The sequence below is a fragment of the Homo sapiens genome, chromosome 7 (genome assembly GCF_000001405.40).
Source record: "Homo sapiens chromosome 7, GRCh38.p14 Primary Assembly".
NCBI classification, from domain to species: Eukaryota; Metazoa; Chordata; class Mammalia; order Primates; family Hominidae; genus Homo; species Homo sapiens.
In genome coordinates, this window is record NC_000007.14 from 119,889,176 (window position 1) to 119,913,375 (window position 24,200).

Below are 24,200 nucleotides of genomic sequence, written 5' to 3' on the forward strand. Positions count from 1 at the left end.
GAATCATTCATGGCTGTCTTTGTGTAAGGAACCCATAAAGAGAATAAATAAGGAGAAAGTTTACTCAAAGTGTGTATTTTCTGATAAGCAAGCCAGTGACAATTAAGGTTATTGACTGTGATACTACTGTAAATATGATATATCTATATGTGGGATACTGAAATGTGGAACATGCATTAATAAGAATGTTGGGCAATGCATGGTGATACAATACCCCATTTCACTGCCTTATCTTTTTACTTAAAAAAAATAGCACTTTCTCATGTTATCAATTACTCTTCAACATATGTTTTAAACAATTACAGAATATATCATAATATCACTAAACTTAATCAATTTCATCCATTTCTAAATATAGTCAATGACAGTGTTATTAAATCAACCAGGTAAAAAAGAACCAATAATTAATTTTGTGATTAAATACAGACTCAATCAAACCATTAAAGAGACTTCCACAATAAGTCTTTCTTAGAAAGCAGAAACTATTTATTCCATAATGATGATTTTAAAGTAATAATTATCTTATGTTGTTGTTAGCCAATAGTGTAAAATAAAACAAACAAACAAACACAAGATTTATTGTGTCCAGGTATAGCAATCTGTCATGGATTTTGATATTATCAGATATTAGGAGATTAATTTGAGTTTTGTATTGATTTTGCCACTTCTGGCAGTTATTTTTCTTATTACATATAACTGAAAAAAATGTAATTTAAAAAATAAACCATAGGAAATATAGCCTAACAAGAAAAGGATACTGAAAGTAATCGATTATTACTAATATAAAATGTTTGTCACCTCTCTTTTGAGTAGCTAGGAACAAGTAGAGAGCTTGTTTCCCAATTAAAGAATCTAAGATCATTATTTTTGCACTCAGTACTGAAGAATAATTTCCCCTAGTTTGAGGACTATTCCAGCCCTGCCCAATCAATCTTAAAAACAATAACCTATAGGTTTAAATAATTTACAAGTAATGAAAATATGTAATTTTTAAAGAAACATTTTTAGAAATATAAAAATAATCAGCATACAACTACATTATATTGATAATGTCTGCCATACAATAAAACAAACAACAACAATAAAAAGAATCTAGCCTAGAAAAACCAGAAAAATACAATTCATAAGGCAATACATCAGTCAGTTGAAACCAATACAGAACTTACTTGGATGTTGGATTTTGTAGGCAAGTACATTAAAAAGATGATTATATCTTCATTCCATAGGTTCAATAATTAGAGAGATGTGGGAGATATAAAAAAAGACTTCTAGTATAAAGAATACAATATGTCTGATAAAGAATACAATAGATGGAATTAATAGAAGAGTATATATTTCCAAAGAAAAGATTAGTGAACTTTACACCATAGCAATAATACACATACGCATACACACACACACACACACACACACACACACGGAAAACAGGTGAATAAAATGAACAGGATATCGGCTGGGTGCCCTGGCTCACACTTGTAATCCCAGCACCTTGGGAGGCTGAGACGGGCAGATTACTTGAGGCCAGGAGTTTGAGACCAGCCTGGCCAACATGGTGAAAACCCGTCTCTACTAAAAATACAAAAACTTAGCCGGCCATGGTGGCAGGCTCCAGCTACTCGGAAGGCTGAGGCAGCAGAACTGCTTGAACCTGGGAGGCAGAAGTTGCGGTGAGCCGACATCGCGCCATTGCACTCCAGCCGGGGCGACAAGAGTGAAACTCTGCCTCAAAACAAATAAACAAGCAAACAAACAAACAAAAATCCCCCACGATATCAGTGAACTATGAAATACTTCAATCAGCTTAATATTTACAAAGCTAGGAAAAGGGAGTGGTTACAAAAAATATATATCCGAATATTTTAGACATTTATTAGAAATAGGAAGTGGTTACAAGAAAAACTATGTTTAAACATTTTTAAAAACTGAAAAACATGATTAACTCACAAATTCAGGAGGTTTATTGAACTCTAAGCAAGGGAGACATCAAGTCAGGGAAAAACAATATTACAGTAAAATTATTGTAGGAATCAATGAAAAAGAAGAGACTAGACCAAATTATTTCAACTACTAAAAGAAAAAAAAACAGCCTGCCAACCTAGAAACACATGTTCAGCAAAAATATGTTTCAGAAACAAAGATAAAATACACTCTCGGACCCAGAAAAGGTAAAAAAAAGTAATCACTATCAGACCTGAGCTGCATTAAATGTTAAAGAAATATCTTTAGGCAAAGATAACCTAAGAGTAGATTGAATATATTTCTATCCATATGAGTGACGAGCAGAGGAGATGGTAAATACAGCGGTAAATACACAAGATTTTTTCTTAATATTAAAATTCATTTTAAATATAGAGGAATAAGCAAAAATATAACAATGTAACTTGGTGTTATGAAAATATACAAATAAAATGTGTAACATCAATGGTCCAAAATTCAGAAGATGAAAAATCAAAATATACGAAGTAAAGTTCTTATATGTGAAGTGGTATATTATCTCTTGAAATTATAATATAACAAATTAGGGTATAAAAGTCCTTAAAGAAATTGCTAAAATAATAAAATTAGTAATTGTAGCCAATAAGCCAACAAAAGAAATAAATTATAATTATAATGGATATTCAATTAGTCTAGCAGAAGGCAAAAAAAGGAAAAATTACAAAAAACAGAAAAACAGGTGACGCAAACAGAGAGCAAATACCAATATATTGATATTGAATTCACACATGTTAATAATAACATTAGATGTGATTGGTCAAATTTCCCCAATTAAAGGTAGAAGTCAGATGAGATTAAAACAAAAAACCAAAATGATCTATCTGTTGACTGCAAGAAACACACTTCAAATCTAAAGAAGGAAATAGATTCAAAGTAAAATAATGGAAAAAGCATACCACACTAACACTAACTGAAAATAAGCTAGAAGGACTATATTAATATTAGACAAAATAGATTTTAATGCAAAAAATGTTGCCAGAAATAGAGATCATCAGTTTTGAATGAAAAGGTATCAATTGATAAGTACAACATAAAAATTCTGATTATGTACGTCATAACTAAATTTTAGTTTTTGAAGCAATAACTTACATAAATAATAAACCATGTAAGGAAATGTTCAATACTGTGAAAAAAATCAGTATCTATATGTTTATAATTGTTAGAACAAGTACACAGAAAATCAGTATAAGTATGCATGTATATTTGAACAGCAGTATCCACCAAGTTGACCTAATTGATATTCCTGAGCATGCCACTCACAAAAAGAAAATATATTTTTTAAGGGTACAGGGGACAAATATAGATAATTCTCTGAGCCATAAAATAAGCCTCCATACAATTAAAAGCATTTAATGAATGCAAAGTATTTCTCTGTTCACAATTAAATGAGAAATCAATAACATAAAGCTATCTAGAAATACTTCAAATAATTATAAATTAGCAAACTTCTAAATAACCCATGGGTCAAAGAAATATAAACAAAAATGTGAAAGAATTTTTAGAAGAGAAAATGAAAATAAGAAACTAACTGAAATTTTAGCGATGATTCTAAAGTAGTAGCTAAAGGAAAATGTATAGTATTTAGTTCCTATATTAGAAAACAAGGAAGATCCTAAATCGAAGACCTCAGCTTCTACTGCATAGCCCTTGGAAAAGAAGAACAAAAAATTAAAGAAGAAAAAACCCTCAAACAACCTAATGATGCATCTTAAAGAGCTAGAAAAGCAAGAGAAAATGAAACCCAACATTAGTAGAAGGAAAGAAATGGTAAAGATCCAGGCAAAAACAAATAAAATTGAAACAAAGACAAAGCTACAACAGATCAAAAAATTGAAAATTTGTTTCTTGAAAAGATAAACAAAATTCAGAAACTTTTAGCCAGACCAACTTAAAAAAAAAAAGACAGAACATCCAAATAAATAAAATCAGGGATGAAAAAGGAGTCGTTACAACTGATATCACAGAAATTCAAAGGATCATTAGAGATCACTGTGACCATACATATGCCAATAAACTATAAAACCTACAACAAATGGAGAAATTCCTAAACACACACAACCCACTAAGATTGAACCATGAACAAGTAAACAAAATCAAAGCTTTAATAAAATGTCTTCCACAATAGAAAGGCCCAGGACTTATTTTCTTCACAGCGGAATTTTACGCAACATTTAAAAAAGAACTGATGCCAATCCTACTGAAACTATTAAAAAAAAAAAAAAGAAGTAGACTAGGAGGTAGTATTGTAGTATTTTCAATCTCATTCTATAAGACCATTATTAGCCTAATATCAAATCAGGCAAAGACACATCCAAAAAAGAGCAAACTATCAACAGAAATAAGGACAAAAACAATATGATCATTTCAATTGTTGCTAAAAAAGCATTTGATAAGATTCAACATCCCTTTGTGATAAACTTCCCCCAAAAAGAAACTGGATAGAGAAAGAACATAACTCAACACAATAAAAGTCATATACAACAGACCCACAACAAGTATCATACTGAATGTTAAAAAATGGAAAGCCTGCCTCTGAGATCTGGATCACAACAAGGATGCCCACATTTACTACTGTTAGTAAACATATTAACAGAAGTCCTAGCTAAAGCAATCAGACAAGATAAAGACATAAAAGACATTCAAACTGGAAAGAAGGAAATCAAATTATGTTTATTTGCAGGTGATATGATCTTATATTCGGAAAAACCTAAAGACTCTAACAATATCTATCAGAACCGACAACCAAATTCAGAAAAGTTGAAGGATACAAAATTTACATACAAAAAACAGTATGTTCCAATATGTTTACACTGCAAATTCAATAGCAGTGTGATTGCATAGTCCATGATCTTATACATTTCCCTATTACACTTATAAACAGAAAAAGTGCTAAACTTATTTTTAATGGACTTGATAATAGATGTTCAATTCATTTCAATTCCTCAGTCATTGGAAAATAGTAAATAGGTAACTGTGCTAGGTCACTATGATGACTTCAAGGTGAATAAGGATGATTTCTTGTCCTTAAAGGTCATAGAAAAAAGCATAAAGTTGAGCAACAAAAATTAACTGATGTTATCAAAAAATAACATAGCCAAAATCTTTCATTTTGAATTATATGCTTATTATTAGAAGATTCAATAAAGATTTCCAAGTTTGATACTTGTTTGTATTAAATATGTATATCTTGACTCCTAATATTTTCTTAGTACAAATATTACTCTGAAGTTCACTCAATAGAAATAATTTAATATATTTCTCTTAATATCTATCTGCAGCTCAATTTCCCAATGTTTCTCTTGATCTCCTACAGAAACTGAACCCCTTTGTATTGATGCCAGTCCCATAAACAACTTACTCTAGTTTTTGCTTAAATTAATTGTGTTAGAAGATTCTTAAACTAGGGCACTGTTGAAACCTTTTGACATCTTTTGTGTATGTTTATCCAATTGTGATAAGATTGCATAGCAGTTAGGTAGGTGTTCCAAAACTGTATTTGAATTTACAAAATTATAGACTACCTTTTAAGGTCTAGATTATCTCATTGTTACCAATGTATATTTCACTTTATTTTACTGATCCTCTACTGAGCTGCTTTCACAAAGCAATTTGTAAAGTACAAACAAACATCCTGGGATTCTTATCCACAAGGAATACTTTCCAAGACACCCAAAAGGATGCCTGAAACCACAGATAGTATTGAACTCCATCTATCTTATGTTTTTTCCAATACATACATAACTATAATAAACTTTAACTTATAAATTAGTCACAGTAAAAGATTAACAATAACTTATAATAAACTAGAACAATTATAACAATATGTTTTAGTAAAAGTTACATGAATTTGATCTCTTTCTCTGTCTCTCTCTCTGCATCTCAAAATGTTTTATTTTATGTACTGTAGTAATCTATTTTCAGAACGCAGTTGATGGTGGAAAACTGAAACCACAAAAGCAAAATCTTGCGATAAGGGGAAATGGATTAGTCCATATTCACAGTGCTATACAGATACTACCTGAGGCTGTGTAATTTATAAATAAAAGAGGTTTAATTGACTCACAGTTCTGCTTGGCTGGGGGGGCCCCAGGAACATACAATCACGACGAAAGATGAAGGAGAAGCAAATGGCTTCTTCACAAGGCCAAAGGAGAGAGAGTGCACAGGGAAACTGCCGCTTTTAAAACCACCAGACCTTGTGAGAATTCCCTCACTATCAGGAGAACAGATGGGGGAAAATGCAAAACATGGAGATAACAATTCCAGGTGAGATTTGGGTGGGACACAGAGCCAAATCATATAAGGGGACTATTAATGGTGTAGAGTAGGTTATTTATTATCAATTATTAATTAATTAATAATTATTAATTATTATCAATGGTGTAGTGTATTTTAGTATTATGGATCTTTAAGGTGAAAAGTTTTGTATTTTGGGCAGGAATACTACAAAAGTAAATCTGTGTTCTTCTTAGTGCATCATATCTGGGTTTATAGTCTATTTGTCTCATGTATGGTAATGCTAACTTTGATCAAATTGATGACAAGGTAAGGACTCCTAGGTTTCTCCAGTGTAAAGTTATTTTTTTATTTGTAATTAAAATTACTTCTATAAGAAATGAATTCATTTTTTATATTGGTGGATATAGGCTATTTGGAAGATTTGTATATATTTGGTTTAAAAGGAGTGTCTGGACACAGAAAATTCCCTTGTAAATATTTTTATTATTCTTTCCTGTACAACACGAAAGGGAACTAACAGAGTTCTAGACTGATCTTGATCCACATCTCCTACTTTGTTAGGTATAACTACAAGATTCATTAAGCAATTATTAAAGCTTAATTTAATAGTATTTTTCTTTTTAGATTATTTTGATATGGCTTTAAGTAGAATTGTAATATTTTTATTATTTTTTAAAAATTCCATTTAGCTTTTAATTTTTAATTTTCTGGACACACAGTAGGTGCATATATTCATGCGGTACAGTACAAGAGACATATTGATACACACATGCAATGCCTAGTAATCACATCATGGTAAATGGGGTATCTATCACCTCAAGTATTAATCCTTTGTGTTATAATCTATCAAGTTTTAAACAGTTATGTTAAAATATACTATGTAATTATTGACTACAGTCACACTGTTTTGCTATCAAATACTAGGTTTTTTTTTTATTCTTTCTAATTATATTGTTTATGCCCATTAACCATACCCACTTCTCTCCCATTCTTGTACTACCCTTCCCAACCTCTGGTAACTATCATTCTACTGTCTATCTCCATGAGATTAACTGTTTTATTTTTTTTGGCTCCCACAAATAAGCAAGAACATATGAAGTTTGTCTTTCTGTGCCTGGATTATTTCCCTTAACCTAATGACCTCCAGTTACATACATGCTATTGCATATGAATGGATCTGTTTTTATGGCTGAATAGTACTCTATTGTTTATAAGTACCACATTTTCTTTATCTATTCTGCTGAACACAAGTTGCTTTCAAATCTTGGCTATTGTGAAGTGTTTCAATAAACATAGTAGTACAGATATATCTTCAATATGCTGATTTACTTTCTTTTGGATATATACCTAGCAGTGGGATAGCTGGATAGTATGGTAGCTCTATTTTTAGCTTTTTGAAAAACCTCTATACTGTTCTCCATAGTGGATGCAGTAATTTACATTTCCACCAACAGTGTACAAGGTTTTCACTTTCTCCACATCCTTGCTACCATTTGTTGTTGCCTGTCTTTTGGATATATGCCATTTTAACTGTTGTAAGATGATATCTCATTGTAGTTTTTATTTGTATTTCTCTGATGATCAATGATATTGAGCACCGTTTCATATATCTGTTTGCCATTTGCATGTCTTCTTTTGAGAAATGTATACTCAGGTCCTTTGCCCTTTTTATAATTGGATTATTAGATTTTTTGCTATTGAATTGTTTGAGCTTCTTATATGTTGTGCTTATTGATCCCTTGTCAGATAGGTAGTTTGCAAATATTTCCTCCCATTCTATGAGTTGTCTCTTCACTTTGTGGATAGTTTCCTTTGTTTTCCAGAAAGTTTTTAAGTTCATATGATCCCGTGTGTCAATTTTTGCTTGTTGCCTGTGCTACAGGGGATATTACCAAGAAACCTTAGCAAAATCCAGTGTCCTAGAGAGTTTTGCCAATGTTTCTGTTTAGTAGTTTCATAATTTTAGGTCTTAGATCTAAGTTCTTAATCCATTTTTATTTGATTTTTGTATATGGCAAAAGAGAGGAGTCTAGGTTTCATTCTACCACATATGAACATCTAGTTTTCCCAGCACTATTTATTGAAAAAAACTGTTCCTTCTCCAATATATGTTTATGGCATCTTTGTAAAAGAAAGAGTTTACTGTAGATGTATGAATTTGTTTCTTGGTTCTCTATTCTGTTCCTTTAGTTGGTGTGTCTGTTTTTATGTCAGTACCATGCTGTTTTGGTTACTATAGCTCTGTACTATAATTTGAAGTCAGGTAATGTGATTCCTCCAGTTTTGTTCTTTTTGCTCAGGATAGCTAGGGCTCTTCTGGTACTTTTGTACCCCATACACATTTTAGGATAGTTTAATTTCTGTGAAGAATGTTGGTATTTTGATAGAGATTGCATTGAATCTGTACACTGCTTTGGGTAGTTCAGACATTTTAACAATATTGATTTTTTTCAATCCATGAACATGGAATAGTTTTCCATTTTTGGTGTCTTCTTTAAGTTCTTTAATCAATGTTTTTTCTCTCTTTTTTTAACTTTTATTTTAGGTTTGGGGGTACATGTGAGATTTTGTTACATAGGTAAATTCATGTTGTTCTACAAATTATTTCATCACCCAGGTATTAAGCCCAGTAGCCAATAGTTATTTATTCTTCTTCTCTCCCCCTTCCCAGCCTCCTCCATCAAGAAGACCCCAGTATCTGTTATTTCCTTTTTTGTGTTCATAGGTTCTCATCATTTAGCTTCAATTTATAAGTAAGAACATACAATATTTGGTTTTCTTTTCCTGTGTAAGTTTGCTAAGAATAGTAGCCTCCAGCTTCATCCATGTTCCCACAAAGGACATGATCTTATTCTTTTTTATGACTGCATAGTATATTCTATGGTGTATATGTACCACGTTTTCTTCATCAGTTACAGCAACACCCACATGCAAAGATGAGAAAGAACAAACAAAAGAACTCTGGTAACTCAAATGTCCAGAGTGTCATGTCTTCTAAATTACCATACCAGTTTTCCAACAAGAGTTCTTAACCAGGCTGAGCTGGCTGGAATGACAGAAATAGAATTTAGAATATGGATAGAAAAAAAAATAATCAAAATTCAGGAAGGTAAAAAAAAAATGAATCCAAGGAAACTGAAAATTACAAAAAAGCAGTATAGGAGCTGAAGGACAAAATAGTCAGTATAAAAGAACCTTACAGAGCTGACAGAGCTGAACAACACAAGAATTCCACAATGCAATTACAAGTTTTAACAATAGAACAGATCAAACTGGGGAAAGAATCTCAGAACTTGAAGACTGGCTCTTTGAAATAAAACAGTCAGTCAAAAATAAAGAAATTTTGAATTTAAAGAAAATAAGAATAAAAAGGAATGAACAAAACCTCCAAGAAGTATGGAATTTTATAGAGATCAACCCTACAAATCATTGGCATCCCTGAAAGGGAGGGGGAGAAAGCAAACAACTTGAAAAACATATTTTAAAGTATTGTCTATGAAAACTTCCCCAACCTTGCTAGAGAGGCCAACAGTAAAATTCAGGAAATACAGAGAACTCCTGCCAGACTCTACACAAGGTTATCCCCAAGATACATAATCATCAGATTTTCCAAGGTCAAAATGAAAGAATGTTAAAGAAAGCTTTGAATAAACTTTCTGCCCCTGTCTCTCTCGCTACCTCCTCTTTAAGGCCAATAACTGCTAGATTTGTCCTTTCCCATGCTATTTTTGAGATCCTGTAGGTGTGTTTTATTTTTTTTTCTTTTTTCTCCTGGACTATGTATTTTCAAACAGGCTGTTTTCAAGCTCACTAAGTCTTTTTCCGCTTGATCCATTCTGCTACTGAAAGACTTTGATGCATTCTTCAGTATTGTCAACTGCATTTTTCAACTTTAAAATTTCTGCTAATTTCTGTTTAATTACTTTAATCTCATTTAAAAATTTATGTGATAGGATTCTGAATTCCATCTCTGTGTTATCTTGAGTTTCATTGTAATTTCTCAACACAGCTATTTTGAATTCTCTGTCTGAAAGGTTGTATATCTTTTTATCTCCAGAATTGGTCCCTGTTTCCTTATGTATTTCATTTGGTGAGATCATGTTTTCCTGATTTTCTTGATGCTGGTGGGTGTTTGTCGTTGTCTGAGCATTTAAGAGTTAGGTATTGACTATAGTTTCTGCAGATTGGGCTTATTTGTACCCTTCTTTCTTAGAAAGGCTTCCCATGCATTCAAAGGGATTTGGGTGTAATCTGTATTAGTCCATTCTCACACTGGTATAAAGACATATCCGACACTGGGCAATTCTTGAAGAAAAGAGATTTAATTGACTTACAGTTCCACAAGCTGTACAGAAAGCATGGCTGGGTAGGCCTTAGGAAATTTACAATCATTGTGGAAGGGGAAGCCAGTACATCCTACATGACTGTTGCAGGAGAAAAAGAGAGAGATGGGGGAGGTGCTACACACTTTCAGTCAACCAGATCTCATCAGATCTCTATCACAAAAATAGCGATCACCTCCCACTAGGCCCCTTCTCCACACTGGGAACTACAATTCAATAGGAGATTTTGGTGGGGAAACAGAACCAAACCATATATCAGGATCTATGCCTTATCTTCATTAGACGGTACCTCAAGCCCAGTAACACTGTTGTTTTTGTGGACTAACAGAGGTATTGCCTTTGTGATATTGAGTAAGATTCAAAATAATTCTCTGGTTTACCAGGCAGATACTCTTATTCCCTTCCCTTATTTTCTCCCAAACAAAAAGAGTCTTTCTCTCACTCTCTATCTGCTGAGCCACCTAGAGCAGGGGGTACGGTAAGACAAGCACCCCTTTAACCACTACCACTGGTAATGTGTTGGGTCAGACCTGAAGCTAGCACAGCAGTTGGGCTCACTCAAGGCCCACTGTAATCACTCCCTGGCTGCCATCTATGTATACTCAAGGCCCTCAAGCTCTGCAGTCAGCATGTGGTGAAGCCAGCCAGGCTTGTGTTCTTCCCTTAGAGGTGGCAAGTTTCCCCAGGCCCTAGGCAGTTCCAGAGATGCTGTGCTGGAGCAAGGGCCTGGTGTCAAAAGTCTTAGAAATTCATATGGTGCTTTATACTACTGTGGCTAAGCTGACACTCAAATCACAAGAAAAAGTTCCTCCCACTCTTCTATCCCCTTTCCAAAGGCAGAGGAGCCTCCCCCATGACTGCCACAACAGCAGGACTATAGAGAGTACTGCCAGGCTACCCCTGATGTTTCCTTAATGCCCAAGGGCATTTAAGTCAGCTTATGGTGAATGCTGCCAGGCTTGAGTCTCCCCGTTCAGGGAAGTGGGATCCCCTCTGGCCCAGTGTAGGTCCAGAAATGCCATTCAAGAGACAAGGCCTGGAATTAAGTGCCCCAAGAACACATTTGGTGCTCTACCCTGCTGTGGCCAAGGTGGTACCTAAGATGCAAAAAATCCTCTTTACTTTTCTCTCTGCTTTTCTCAAGCAGATGGAGTTCTCTCACCTTAGCCTGAGGGCTCTTTAGTCAGCAGGTAATAAATCGTGTCTGTAGTACTGGATTTTTCCTTCAAGACAGCGAGTTCCCTTCTGGCCCACAGTATGTCTAGAAATGTCATCCAGAAACTAGGGCCTGGAACAAGGGCCTCAAGACTCTGCCTAGTGCTTTCTCTTACTGTGGCTAAGCGGGTATCCAAGATGCAAGACAAAGCTCTCTTTACTCTTCCCGCGCCTCTACTCAAGCAGAAGATAAGTCATTTTTTTCAGTGCTACAAGCTGTGTTGCCTGGGGCTGGGTGGAGGGGCGGTGCAAGCACTCCCTTAGCCTCCCTGACTGGCATTTCACGAGGTCATGTGTCCTCTATGTCCACTGGCTCTGAGCCCAGCACAGCACTAGAACTTGCCTAGGAATTGCAGTCCTTGTGATTTAGACTGCCTTTTAAGTTTATTTAGAACCCCAAAGCCCTTTAGCCTATGGTAACAAGGCTTTCTGGAATAAAAAACCACTGGGATGGGTGATTCCCCTTTGGCTTGGGGTAGTCTACACACTCCTTCTGTGGGTGGGTGTCAGCTGAATTCATCTGGTTTTGCCTTCTACTATGATAGGGTAGCACTGAGTTCAATGCATATTCCCACAGGCATTGCTCACTTCCTCCCTGAAAAGCTGAGATTCCCTCTTCATGCCACACATCCACTGCCAGAACATGGAGAAGGGGTAGTGTCAGCAACTCAAGACTGTCTTTCCTAATGTCTTCAGTGCTTCTCTCAGTGATATGAAGTTAAAACCAGGACTGTGATTGCTCACTTGATTTTTTATTCTTATGAAATTGCTTTTTTGTCTAGATATCAACTTTGATGTTCCTGTTTGGGGTTGGGGGACAATAAGTAAGGGCTTCTATTCAGCTGTTACCTTTCCCTTAACTAGAAATTTAGTTGAGATCAACCACGTCTATCTTGATAATTTCTGAAAATATTTTCTAGGGCTAAACATCTTCCTGTAATGGTAAAAGCAAATTTTCTTATTTTTTCTTTCAAAACATATACTTTATTTTGATATTTTTAAGGAGGCAATATCTCAGTTCATTTTCATGGTGGAGATGAGTTATAGTCCTGAGTTCAATAAATAATTAAGCATTTACTAAAGAAGCTTCATCTATTTCTCCAGCTTTTTCATATTGACTCACCCATCTGGCAACTTTTTACTAATATCAAAATCGCTCTGCACACAAAAATAATCCTTTCCTCACAAGAAACTGCAAAGTTGTGAAAACAGAAATAATGCATTTCCACTATAAAAAACCAAAACACCGTTATTAAATACTGACATGTAATCCTTTCTAGAGTAGTTGTATTAAGGCAACATATATCATATTCTGATTGAAGTATATTTTATAAGAGCACCATTCATAAAGGGTGAGCACTGTGTCACTTGACAGATATGTATGTTCTGGGCACTGGAGCCATCACAATAATGACATTTGTGGCTCTTTGTCAGAAAGCTTATCTTTCGCATTTCATGAAGACAGTGAACGTTTCTTTAATTATAGCTTCTCCCATACTACTCATTAATAGAAAAGTAGATGATTCACTAAATATGAATAGAAAATAAGCAATATATGCTTCTTATATTAACTTCCAATTATTTATCAAAGAGTTATCTGAAAAACTCACATATAGCTAAGAAACACCTGTCCTCGTCCTGTCCAAAATTATTTAGTTTTTGTTTAATATCCTTAATTTATATGCCATTGAGAGTCTTCTATTCATATGTATCTTACTGCCTTATATACTTCTGAAATTTGGACACAAGGCCTAAATATCTATCTCACATGCTCCAAGGTTTCATTTCACTTTAATCCTTCTCTTTAGTTTAACAACTTACGTCCTCCCATTGAATTTTCAATTGTCTCTTCTTTTCAGTCTCAGTCTACTCACTGCTCTGGATAACTCCCACATCCTATTCAAACTTCTCAGACCAGACCATAAGAACTATATGTGGTCTTCTGCCTGACAGAAGTATTTAGACATTCTCTAGTCCCTCAGTAGTGATTCAACCCCTTATTTTCCCTTTCTATACATATACTCTAGACCCGAGTACTTTCTATTCCATTAATATAAGAAATTAGTGAATTATCTTGATATAAATAATTTAGTTTTCTAAAAAATTCCACTTATTTTCTGATTTAAACATTTTGAACTACTAGAGTATACAGCGATTAGCGTCTATCAGAATAAGGAAACACTATTATAGCTCCCTAGTTTACTGGCAACATGTACATTAAATGTGCTTATGAGCATTTTAAAACATCCTGAAGCAATATTCTGTAAGAAAACTCTAGGAATTCTGCCAAATATTTTGTGATTTGGCTGATATTCAAGAACTTTATGGGGCACAATTTTATTACCCCATTCTGCATGACATTGATTTGCCTTTGAACTCAACTAAAGTCCATTACTCCATAACTCAAGTTAATGGGTATATAGATAGGAAATTTCCTTACCACAGCAGTATTTCTCTCAATATTTTTTATTTATTAAATTTATTAGATGCTCAAAATCAATCAATTTCTAGGAGCACTTCAGAGAGTAATAAAGGATGATACTGAAATGTATACATTTCTGCAAATCCAGTATGAAACAGAGTTTCAAGAGAGATTTCCATGTAATAGAGGCCACAGAATTTATCTTGCTTCTCTGGATTTCTGTAATTTTTTAATTGCCTATAATACTTTGTTCAAAAAATTCAATAATTTTAAAATGTAGTGATGATAAATGACTTTTATACCAGATATTTACTTATTCAATAAATAACTAAAAGTCTTAGTACAGTACTTCACATGCACAGAGTCTGGTATAATTTTGATTGGTTTATAATGGAACTACTTTTTAATGTACTACCTGGAATAGCACATTTGACAAAGAAAGAAATTTAATCCTAGATAGCTGAACAATGAGCTATCAATGAATAATTGAGAGCTTTAAAATGATTCCCCTCACTCAAATATTCACATGTGGATGTTGAGTCACTAATCAAAGCCATGGTTCTGCAAAGGAACTAAATTACATCAAAAGACAGTCACAGCTGATATCCCAAGGGATTAGCAAAGAGTCCATCTACAGCCCAACTAATCCACCCCTAGATAACATGCCTAAGATCCAAATACTCTTTTAGAAATCCAAATTGCATGTCCTTGTACACAGCACACTACATTGCATTTTAGCTAACAGAAGATAAAGACAGTGGAAGAGGAGAAGAAGAAAATGAATTTTTCATATTGAACATACCCATGTAATCATCCCATGATTAAGAAAAGAATGTTACTATCCCTCAAGTGCCTCCTTTTTGAGTACCTCCCTCTCTCACCACCAGCCACTAGGATAATCACTATTCTGATTTCTAACATAGATTAGTTTACCTGATTGTACTCTTCATATAAAGGGGATCATAAAATGTAGTTTCATGTCTGGCTTCTTTTACTTATTATTATGTTTATGAAATTCAATTCTATTGCTGCACATAGTGAATTTTCCATTCCATTTGTTATATATCATTATATTCTAGACAGATGTGCCATAATTTGTCTAATATATTGTTGATATTAACATATTATGTTGCTATGAAGATTTGATATTTTACCAGATTTTTCAATTTTTACTTTGGAAATTTCTTTGAGTATATACCTGGATTTTAATTTCCAGACTATAAAGTGTGCACATGTCCATCTTTACTAGATACTGGCCAACAGTTATTTGAAGAATTTATGATCTCACCAGCAATGTATGAGAATTTAAATTTGTATACATCATCAAAACATTTGAATTTATTGTCTATTTTTTAATTTAGTCAGGCTGGTGGGTGTGTAGTGCTAGCAAATGAAGTTTTAATTTGCATTTCTTTGATGTCTATATAGAGTGACTTTTCATGTTATTCAGCCACTTGAATATGATTTTATGCGAAAAGCTTTTAAAAGATCGTATACTTAGCAAATGTTTCTTTTGTGTTTTCTCTGACTTTCTGATTTGTGGGAGTTTTAAAAATATACTAAATATAGTAGTTATATGTTAGATACACTATGAAAACATCTCTCATATGGTTTGTACTTTATGCTTTTATTTCTATTATTTGATGAAAAGCAGTTCTTAATATTAATTTATTTCAACACATCTTTATTATCAATAGCACTATTAAAATTCTGTTTAAGATATATTTAACTGTCTTAGTTATGAAGTAGCATTCATTTGTTTTCTTATAAATGATTTGTTTATATTTAATAATTAGACATGAAATCTGTCGTAGTTTGTCTTTCATTCTTTGTGCTTTTGTTGGTACATAGAATGCAAATTTTTATACCAGTGTTGCATGTATGATGATGCCAAATTCACTGTTATTCCTAATAGTCTATCTTTGATGGCAAAATCAATATAAGAAGGTGCTGAACATTAATATTGATTAGGAAAAATGCAGAATATTCCATAATGGTCACATATTGACTAGAAAGCTCAAATTAAATAACAACAACACTGACCATATCACATTTTGGTGAGTATTTGGAGCAATTAGAATTTACACATACCTGTCATGAGAATGTAACATGGTACAGTTCATTTGGAAAAGAATTTGGAAGTTTCTCAAAAAGGTAAACATGTATGTGCACTGTAGCTCAACCATATCATTTTCAGATATCTACCCAAGAGATATGTGACCATATGTAGAAGGGAAATGTATGGCAAAAAGCAAATACCAGGTAAAGGGAGAGGGACACGTATGGTTGTATACTTATCCGATGTATGAAGTGATGCAATATTATCTGAACATTGAATATGATCATTAAGACATACTGTAAACCCTAAAATAATTACTAAATCTTATGTCATAATTATCATATTATATAAACGTATACTTGTATGTTTTCTAGGTTAAAGAAAAACCTTTGGGAAACGTATGTTTGGAAAATTGAGACTTATTTTTTATGTAAAATAACCTTGAGGTTTAATTTACATAAAATTCACCTAATGTAATGTACAGTTCTATGAGTTTTCACAAGCATATAGAGTCGTGTACACCAAGCAATAATAAAGATATAGAACCTTCTATCGCAAAAAAAATTTCTCGATATCCCATTGTTGTCAACCCCTTTCTTCATGCAAAATTCATGTCTGAAATTTATTTGTTTCTTGTTCATTAATTTTTTTCTTTTCCATATTTATCAAACACACACAAACACACGCAAACATTTACATAGAAGTTTTTGGGTAAACATATGTTTTCAATTATCTTCCATAAACAGCTTGTTGTGGAATTGATGGTTCAGGTGATAAGTATATGTTTCACTTGGTAACAAACTTCCAAAATGCATTTTAAAGAGGCTGCATCAGTTTGCATCCCCATCAATCGTGTATGAATATTTAATTCACATCTTCACTAGCATTTGTATTTCCAGGTATTTGCTTGTTTTGTTCGTTTTCCATTCCAGTAGCTATGCAGTGGTATCTAATTGTGATTTAACGTACATGTCCTTAAGGACTAAGGATGTTGAGCACGTTTTCTTTCCTTTTATTTTTACTTGATATGTATTAATTGTACACATTTATGGAACACAGGGTGATATTTTTGTGTACAACGTGTACTGATCAAATCAGGGTAATTAGCATATCCATCACCTCAAACCTTGGTTATTTCTTTGTGTTGTGAACATTTAAAATTCTCTCCTTTAAGTTTTAAGAACATAACAACAAATTGTAGTCAACTATATTCACCCTACAGGGATGCAGTACAACTGAACTACTTTCTTTCTAATCCCCTAACACTTGATACCTGTTAAACAACTTCTCCCCATTCTTCCCTCCCTCTACCCTCCCCAGCTACTAAAACCCACAATTTTACTCTGTACTTTCTTTTTGTTTTGTTTTTTTTTTTTTTGAGACGGAGTGTCGCTCTTTCGCCCAGGCCGGACTGCAGTGGCGCTATCTCAGCTCACTGCAAGCTCTGCCGCCCAGGTTCACGCCATACTCCTCCGGAGTAGCTGGGACTACAGGCGCCCACCACCGCGCCCGGCTAATTTTTTGTATTTTTAGTAGAGACGGGGTTTCACCGTGTTAGCCAGGATGGTCTTGATCTCCTGACCTCATGATCTGCCCGCCTCGGCCTCCCAAAGTGCTGGGATTACAGGCGTGAGCCACCGCGCCCGGCTTACTCTGTACTTTCATGAGCTGAAGTTTGTTTTTTTTAATTTTTAGTGAAAATATGTGCTATTCTCTTTCTGTGCCTCAGATGTGTGTGTGTGTGTGTGTGTGTGTGTGTGTGTGTGTGTGTATTAGTCCATATTCACGCTGCTAATAAAGACGTACTTGAGACTGGGAAGGAAAAGAGGTTTAACTTGACTTACAGTTTGACATGGCTGGAAAGGCCTCAGAATCACGGCGGGAGGCGAAAGTCGCTTCTTCCATGGTAGCAGCAAGAGAAAATGAGGACGAAACAATAGCGGAAACCCCTGATAAACCCATCAGATCTCGCGAGACTTATTCACTATCAGGAGAACAGCACAGGAAAGACCGGCCCTCATGATTCAATTACCTCTCCCTGGGGTACTGCCTTCCCAACAATCACCGTTAAGTCTTAACTCATTTCTGCATTAACCCAAAAGCCTGAAGTCCAAAGTCTCTGAGACGATGCAAGTCCCTTCTACCTATGAGCCTGTAAAATCAAAAACAAGCTAGTTACTTCCTAGACACAACAGCCATTTCAAATGGGAGAAATTGGCCCCAAAAAAGGGGTTACAGGGCCCATGCAAGTCCAAAATCCAGTGGGGCAGTCAAATTTTAAAGCTCCAAAATTATCTCCTTTTTCTCCAGGTCTCACATTCAGGTCACGCTGATGCAAGAGGTGGGTTCCCACGGTCTTGGGCAGCTCCGCCCCTGTGGCTCTGCAGGGTACAGTCTCCCTCCTGGCTGCTTTAACGGCTGGCTTTGAGTGTCTGCAGCTTTTCCAGGTGCAAAGTGCAAGCTATCGGGGAATCTACCATTCTGGGATCTGAAGGACGGTAGTCCTCTTCTCACAGCTCCACTAGGCAGTGCTGCAGTAGGGACTCTACGTGGGGTATCCAACCCCACATTTCCTTTCACATTGCCCTAGAAGAGGTTCTCTATGAGCGCCCCGCCCCTGCAGCAAACTTTTGCCTGGGAATCTAGGCATTTCCATACATCTGCTGAAATCTAGGCAGAAATTCCCAAACCTTAATTCTTGACTTCTGTGCACCCTCAGGATCAACACCATGTGGAAGCTGCCAAGGCTTGGCAGCTTCCACCCTCTGAAGCCAGCCTGAGCTGGACATTGGCCCTTTTCAGCCAGTGCTGGAGCAGCTGGGACACAGGGCATCTAGTCCTCAGGCTGCACACAGCATGGGGACCCTGAGCCTGGCCCACAAAATTACTTTTTTCTCCTGGGCCTCTGGGCCTGTTACAGGAGGGGCTTCCATGAAGGTCTCTGACGTGGCCTGGAGACATTTTCCCCATGGTCTTGGGAATTCATTCACATTTGGCTCCTTGCTGCTTATACAAATTTCTGAAGCCAGCTTAAATTTCTCCTCAGAAAATGGGTTTTTCTTTTCTATCAAATAGGCTGCAAATTTTCCAAACTTTTATGCTCTGCTTCCCTTATAAAACTGAGTATCTTTAACAGTACCCAAGTCACCTCTTGAATGCTTTGTTGCCTCTGCAAGATACCCTAAATCTGGCAGAATGCTTCTGCCAGATACCCTAAATCATCTCTCTCAAGTTCAAAGTTCCACAAATCTCTAGGGCATGGGCAAAATGCTGCCAGTCTCTTTGCTTAAACATAACAAGAGTCACCTTGGCTCCAATTCTCAATAAGTTCCTCACCTCCATCTGAGACCACCTCAGCCTGGACCTTATTGTCCATATCACTATCAGACTTTTGGGCAAAGCCATTCAATAATTATGTAGGAAGTTCCAACCTTTCCCACATTTTCCTGTCTTCTTCTGAGCCCTCCAAACTGTTTCAACCTCTGCCTGTTACCCAGTTCCAACGTCACTTCCAAATTTTTGGGTATCTTTTCGGCAGTGTCCCACTCTACTGGTACCAATTTGCAGTACTGGTCTGTATTTACGTTGCTGATAAAGACATACTCAAGATTGGGAAGAAAAAGAAGTTTAATTGGACTTACAGTTCTACATTGCTAGGGAGGCCTCAGAACCATGACAGCAGAAACAGAAAATGAGGAAGAAAAGTGAAAACCCCTGATAAACCCATCATATCTCATGTGACATTCACTATTGCAAAAATAGCACGGGAAAGACTGGCCCCCATGATTCAATTACCTCCCACTGAGTACCTCCCACAACATGTGGGAATTCTGGGAGATACAATTCAAGTTGAGAATGGGATGGGGACACAGCCAAACCATATCAATGTGTGTGTGTGTATTTCTTTGTCATATATATGTATATGTTTCTTATATTATATATACACATTATTCATTTATCTGTTGATGGAAATTTGGGTTAATCCCATATCTTAGCTATTGTGAATAGTACTATATTAAATATGGGGTTACAGATGACCATTTGACATACTGATTTCTTTTTCTCTGGATAAATATCCAGTAGTGGGATTGCTAGATCATATGGTAGCTCTATTGTTAATTTTTTGAGAAATCTTCACACGTTTTTTTATATGGCTGTACTAATCTACATTCCCATGTACAATGTGAGCTCCCTTTTCTCTGCACCATTGCCAGAATTAGTTATTTTCTGTCTTCTTTATAATAGCCATTTTACCTGAGGTGAGCTATTTCATTGAGGTTTTGATTTGCATTTCCTTGATGATTATTGATGACAAATATTTTTTCAGATATATTTTGGCCATTTGTATGTCTTCTCTTGAGAAATATCTCTTCAGACATTTCACTCTTTGCCCACTTTTTTATTAGATTATTTGTTTGGGAGTTTCTGGTTTATTTTTTATGATTTCTTATGACTTTTTGCACTTTTAAGTTCAGGAGTACATATGCTGATTTGTTACATAGGTTAACTTGTGTCATGTGAGTTTGTTGTACAGATTATTTCATCGCCCAGGTATTCAGCCTAGTACCCATTAGTTACTTTTCCTGATCCTCTCCCTGCTCGCACTCTCCACCCTCCAAAGACCCCAGTGGTGTTGTTCCTCTCTCTGTGTCTGTGTGTTCTCATCATTTAACTCCCACTTATAAGTGAGACATGCAGTATTTGGTTTTCTATTGCTGCATTAATTTGTTAAGGATAATGGCCTCCAGCTCCAACCATGTCTCCACAAAGGACATGATCGCCTTCATTTTTATGGCTGCATAGTAGTCCATGATATATATGTACCACAGTTTCTTTATCAATTCTATCACCGATAGGCATTTAGGTTGATTCCGTGTCTTTGCTATAGTGAATAGGGCTGCAATGAATATATGCATGCATGTGTCTTTATAATAGAATGATTTATATTCCTCTGGGTATTTACCCAGTAATGGGATTGCTGGGTTGAATGGTATTTCTTTCTTTAGGTCTTTGAGGAATTGCCGCACTGTCTTTCTCAATGGTTGAACTAATTTATACTCCCATCAACAGTACACAAGCATTCTTTTTCTTCCGCAACCTCTCAAGCATCTGTTGTTTTTTGACTTTTTAATGATAGCCATTCTGAGTAGTGTGAGACAGTATCTCATTGTTGTTTTGATTTGCGTTTCTCTAATGATCAGTGATTTTGAGGTTTTATTCATATGATTGTTGGCCACACATGTGTCTTCTTTTGAAAAGTGTTCATGTCCTTTGCCCATTTTTTAATGGGGTTGTTTGTATTTTTATTTCTTTTTTTTTTTTTTTGGTATTGAGTTGCTTGAGTTTCTTTTATATCTTGCATATGAGTCTTCACAGATAAATAGTTTGCAAATATTTTCTCCGAATCCAAATGTTATCTCTTCACTCTGTTGATTATGTCCCTTTCTGGGCAGAAGCATTTTCATTTAATATAGTCCCATTTATCTATATTTATCTATATCTATATATCTATAGCCAAGACTTCAAAATCCCCTGTGATTTTTGAAGTCTTGGCTATAACATTTTTACCTAGATTGACTTTTGGAAGTATTTCTCCTAGTTTCTTCTGGGAGTTTTATAGTTTGGGTTATTACTTTTAAGTTTTGAATCCATTTTGGGTTGATTCTTGTGTATGATGGTAAATAGGTATCTAGTTTCATTTATTTGCATATAAATATCCAGTTTTCCTAGCACCGTTTATTGAAGGGGGTGTCTTTCTCCATTGCATGTTCTTAGCAACTTTGACAAAAAACAATTGGCTGTAAATATATGAATTTGTTTCTGGGTTCTCCATTGTGTTTCAATGGTCTATTTGTCTGTTTTAATGCCAGTACCATGTTGTTTTGGTTACTATACCTCTGTAGTATATTTTGAAGTTAGGTAGTGTAATATCTGCAGCTTCTTTTTCCCCCTCAAGATTGCTTTGGCTGATTAGGGTCTTTTGTAGTTCTATACAAATGTTAGGATTTTTTTTTCTATTTCTGTGAAGACTGCCATTGATATTTTATAGGGATTACATTGAATCTTTAGACTACTTTAAGTAATATGGTCATTTGAACAATGGTAATTCTTCTAATCCATGAGAATTTGATGTCTTCTTTTGTTCCTTCAATTTTTTTCATTAATGTTTTGTAGTTTTCATTGTAGAGCTCTTTCACCTATTTATTTACATTTATTCCCAGGCATTTTTTAATTTTTTGTAACCATTGTAAATTAGGCTGCTTTTTCTTATTTCTTTATCTTGATACTTTCTTAGTAAATTGAATGATTGAATGCTTTGCCTATGTTTTTTGATAATTTGTGTTTATATAATCAAGCTTGAAAATTCTGTATATATTCTAGATGTAAATACTTTATCAAACATATTTTTTGAAATGTTTTATCCAAATATATGTTCAGTGTTTTAATTATCTTAACATTCCCTTTTTAAGAGCAGACATTTTAAAAATTCAAGGCAATTATATATATGTAATATATATAAATGTGTGTGTATATATGTGTGTGTGTGTGTGTGTGTGTGTGTATATATATATATATATATAAAACATGTACTGATGCCTGCTCTTGTATTCATGATAATCATAATCTTTGACTTCCATTTTTATCTTGATTGGCCTGGAAAGAAGTTTTCATTTTTATTTAACTTATTAAGAAATAACTTTTAATTTTATTGATTTTATTAAATTTCATTGTCAATGATATTGACCTTTGTTTTTCTTACCATTTTTATATACTCCTCTTGATTTATTTTACTACTCTATTTGCATTTTCTTTGGGGAAAACTTAAACCATTGATGTAATTTTTTTTCCTTTTAAATGTAAGTATTTCAGCACTATAAGTTTTCTTCTAAGCACTATCATGCATCTCACATAATTTAATATATCCTGTTTTTATTTTATTCTTTAGTTCATAATGCTTTATTTTTCATTTTATTTCTTCTATAACCCATGGGCTATACACAAAGATGTTGGCTTCTTTCAAAATGTTTAGGAGATGTCTTATCTCTTTCTCTTCTAGATTTATAATTTAATCATAGCCAAGAAACACATTTGTAATAATATAAAAACTTCTATAATTATTATCATCTATTTTATCATCCAGATTATGATCTATTTTGGTTAATGCTTTGTATGCACTTGAAAAGTAATAAATATTCGGCTGTGGTTGGATGAGTATTTTCTAAAGATCTTTTACAGATGACCCCAGACTTAGAATGGTTCGACTTACAACTTTTTGACTTTATGACAGTGTGAAAGTGAAATCCATCAGCAGAAACCAAACTTCAGTGCAACATTCAATAAATTACATGAGACAGTCAACATTTTATTATAAATAGTCTTTTTGTTAGATAATCTCGCCCAACTGTAAGCTGACGTAATTTTTCTGAGCATATTTATGATACAGTTGGCTATGATGTTATATAGCTAGGATGTATTAAATGCATTTTTCACTTACAATATTTTTCATTTGTGATGGATTAATCAAGACATAACCCCATCATAAGTCCAGGAGCATCTAGAGTCCACTTTTTAATATAATTCTTTCAAATCTTTTATATCCTTAATTTTTATATGTACTTGCTCTATTAATTATTGAAAGGGGGTGCTGAAACCCACACAACTATAAATTTGGGAGTTCCTTTGTATCCTATCCTTCCTTTTGATTCACTTTTTCTTCATATGGTTTGAAACTTCATGATTAGATGCATCAATTGTTATAATTGCATATTCACTTAGTAAATTGACCCCTATGTCACTATGAAAAGAGCTTTCTTTTTTTTTTTTTTTAGACAGACTCTCGCACTGTCCCCAGGCTGGAGTGCAATGGTGTGATCTCAGCTCACTGCAACCTCCGCCTCCCAGAGTCAAGCAATTCTCCTGCCTCAGC

At 34.6% G+C, this 24,200-nt stretch overlaps 1 long non-coding RNA gene across 4 annotated transcripts in view; it reads right to left on the reverse strand.

Moving 5' to 3' along the window:
* The window catches only part of LINC02476 (long intergenic non-protein coding RNA 2476), a 287,946-nt gene extending 269,746 nt beyond the window's left edge, over positions 1 to 18,200 (reverse strand). For all 4 annotated transcript variants that reach the window (NR_131960.1, NR_131962.1, NR_131961.1 and 1 more), the window contains exon 1: positions 18,118 to 18,200. This is a non-coding gene — a long non-coding RNA (long intergenic non-protein coding RNA 2476). The remainder of the gene's footprint in view (positions 1 to 18,117) is intronic.
* Between the last annotated feature and the right edge of the window lie 6,000 nt (positions 18,201 to 24,200).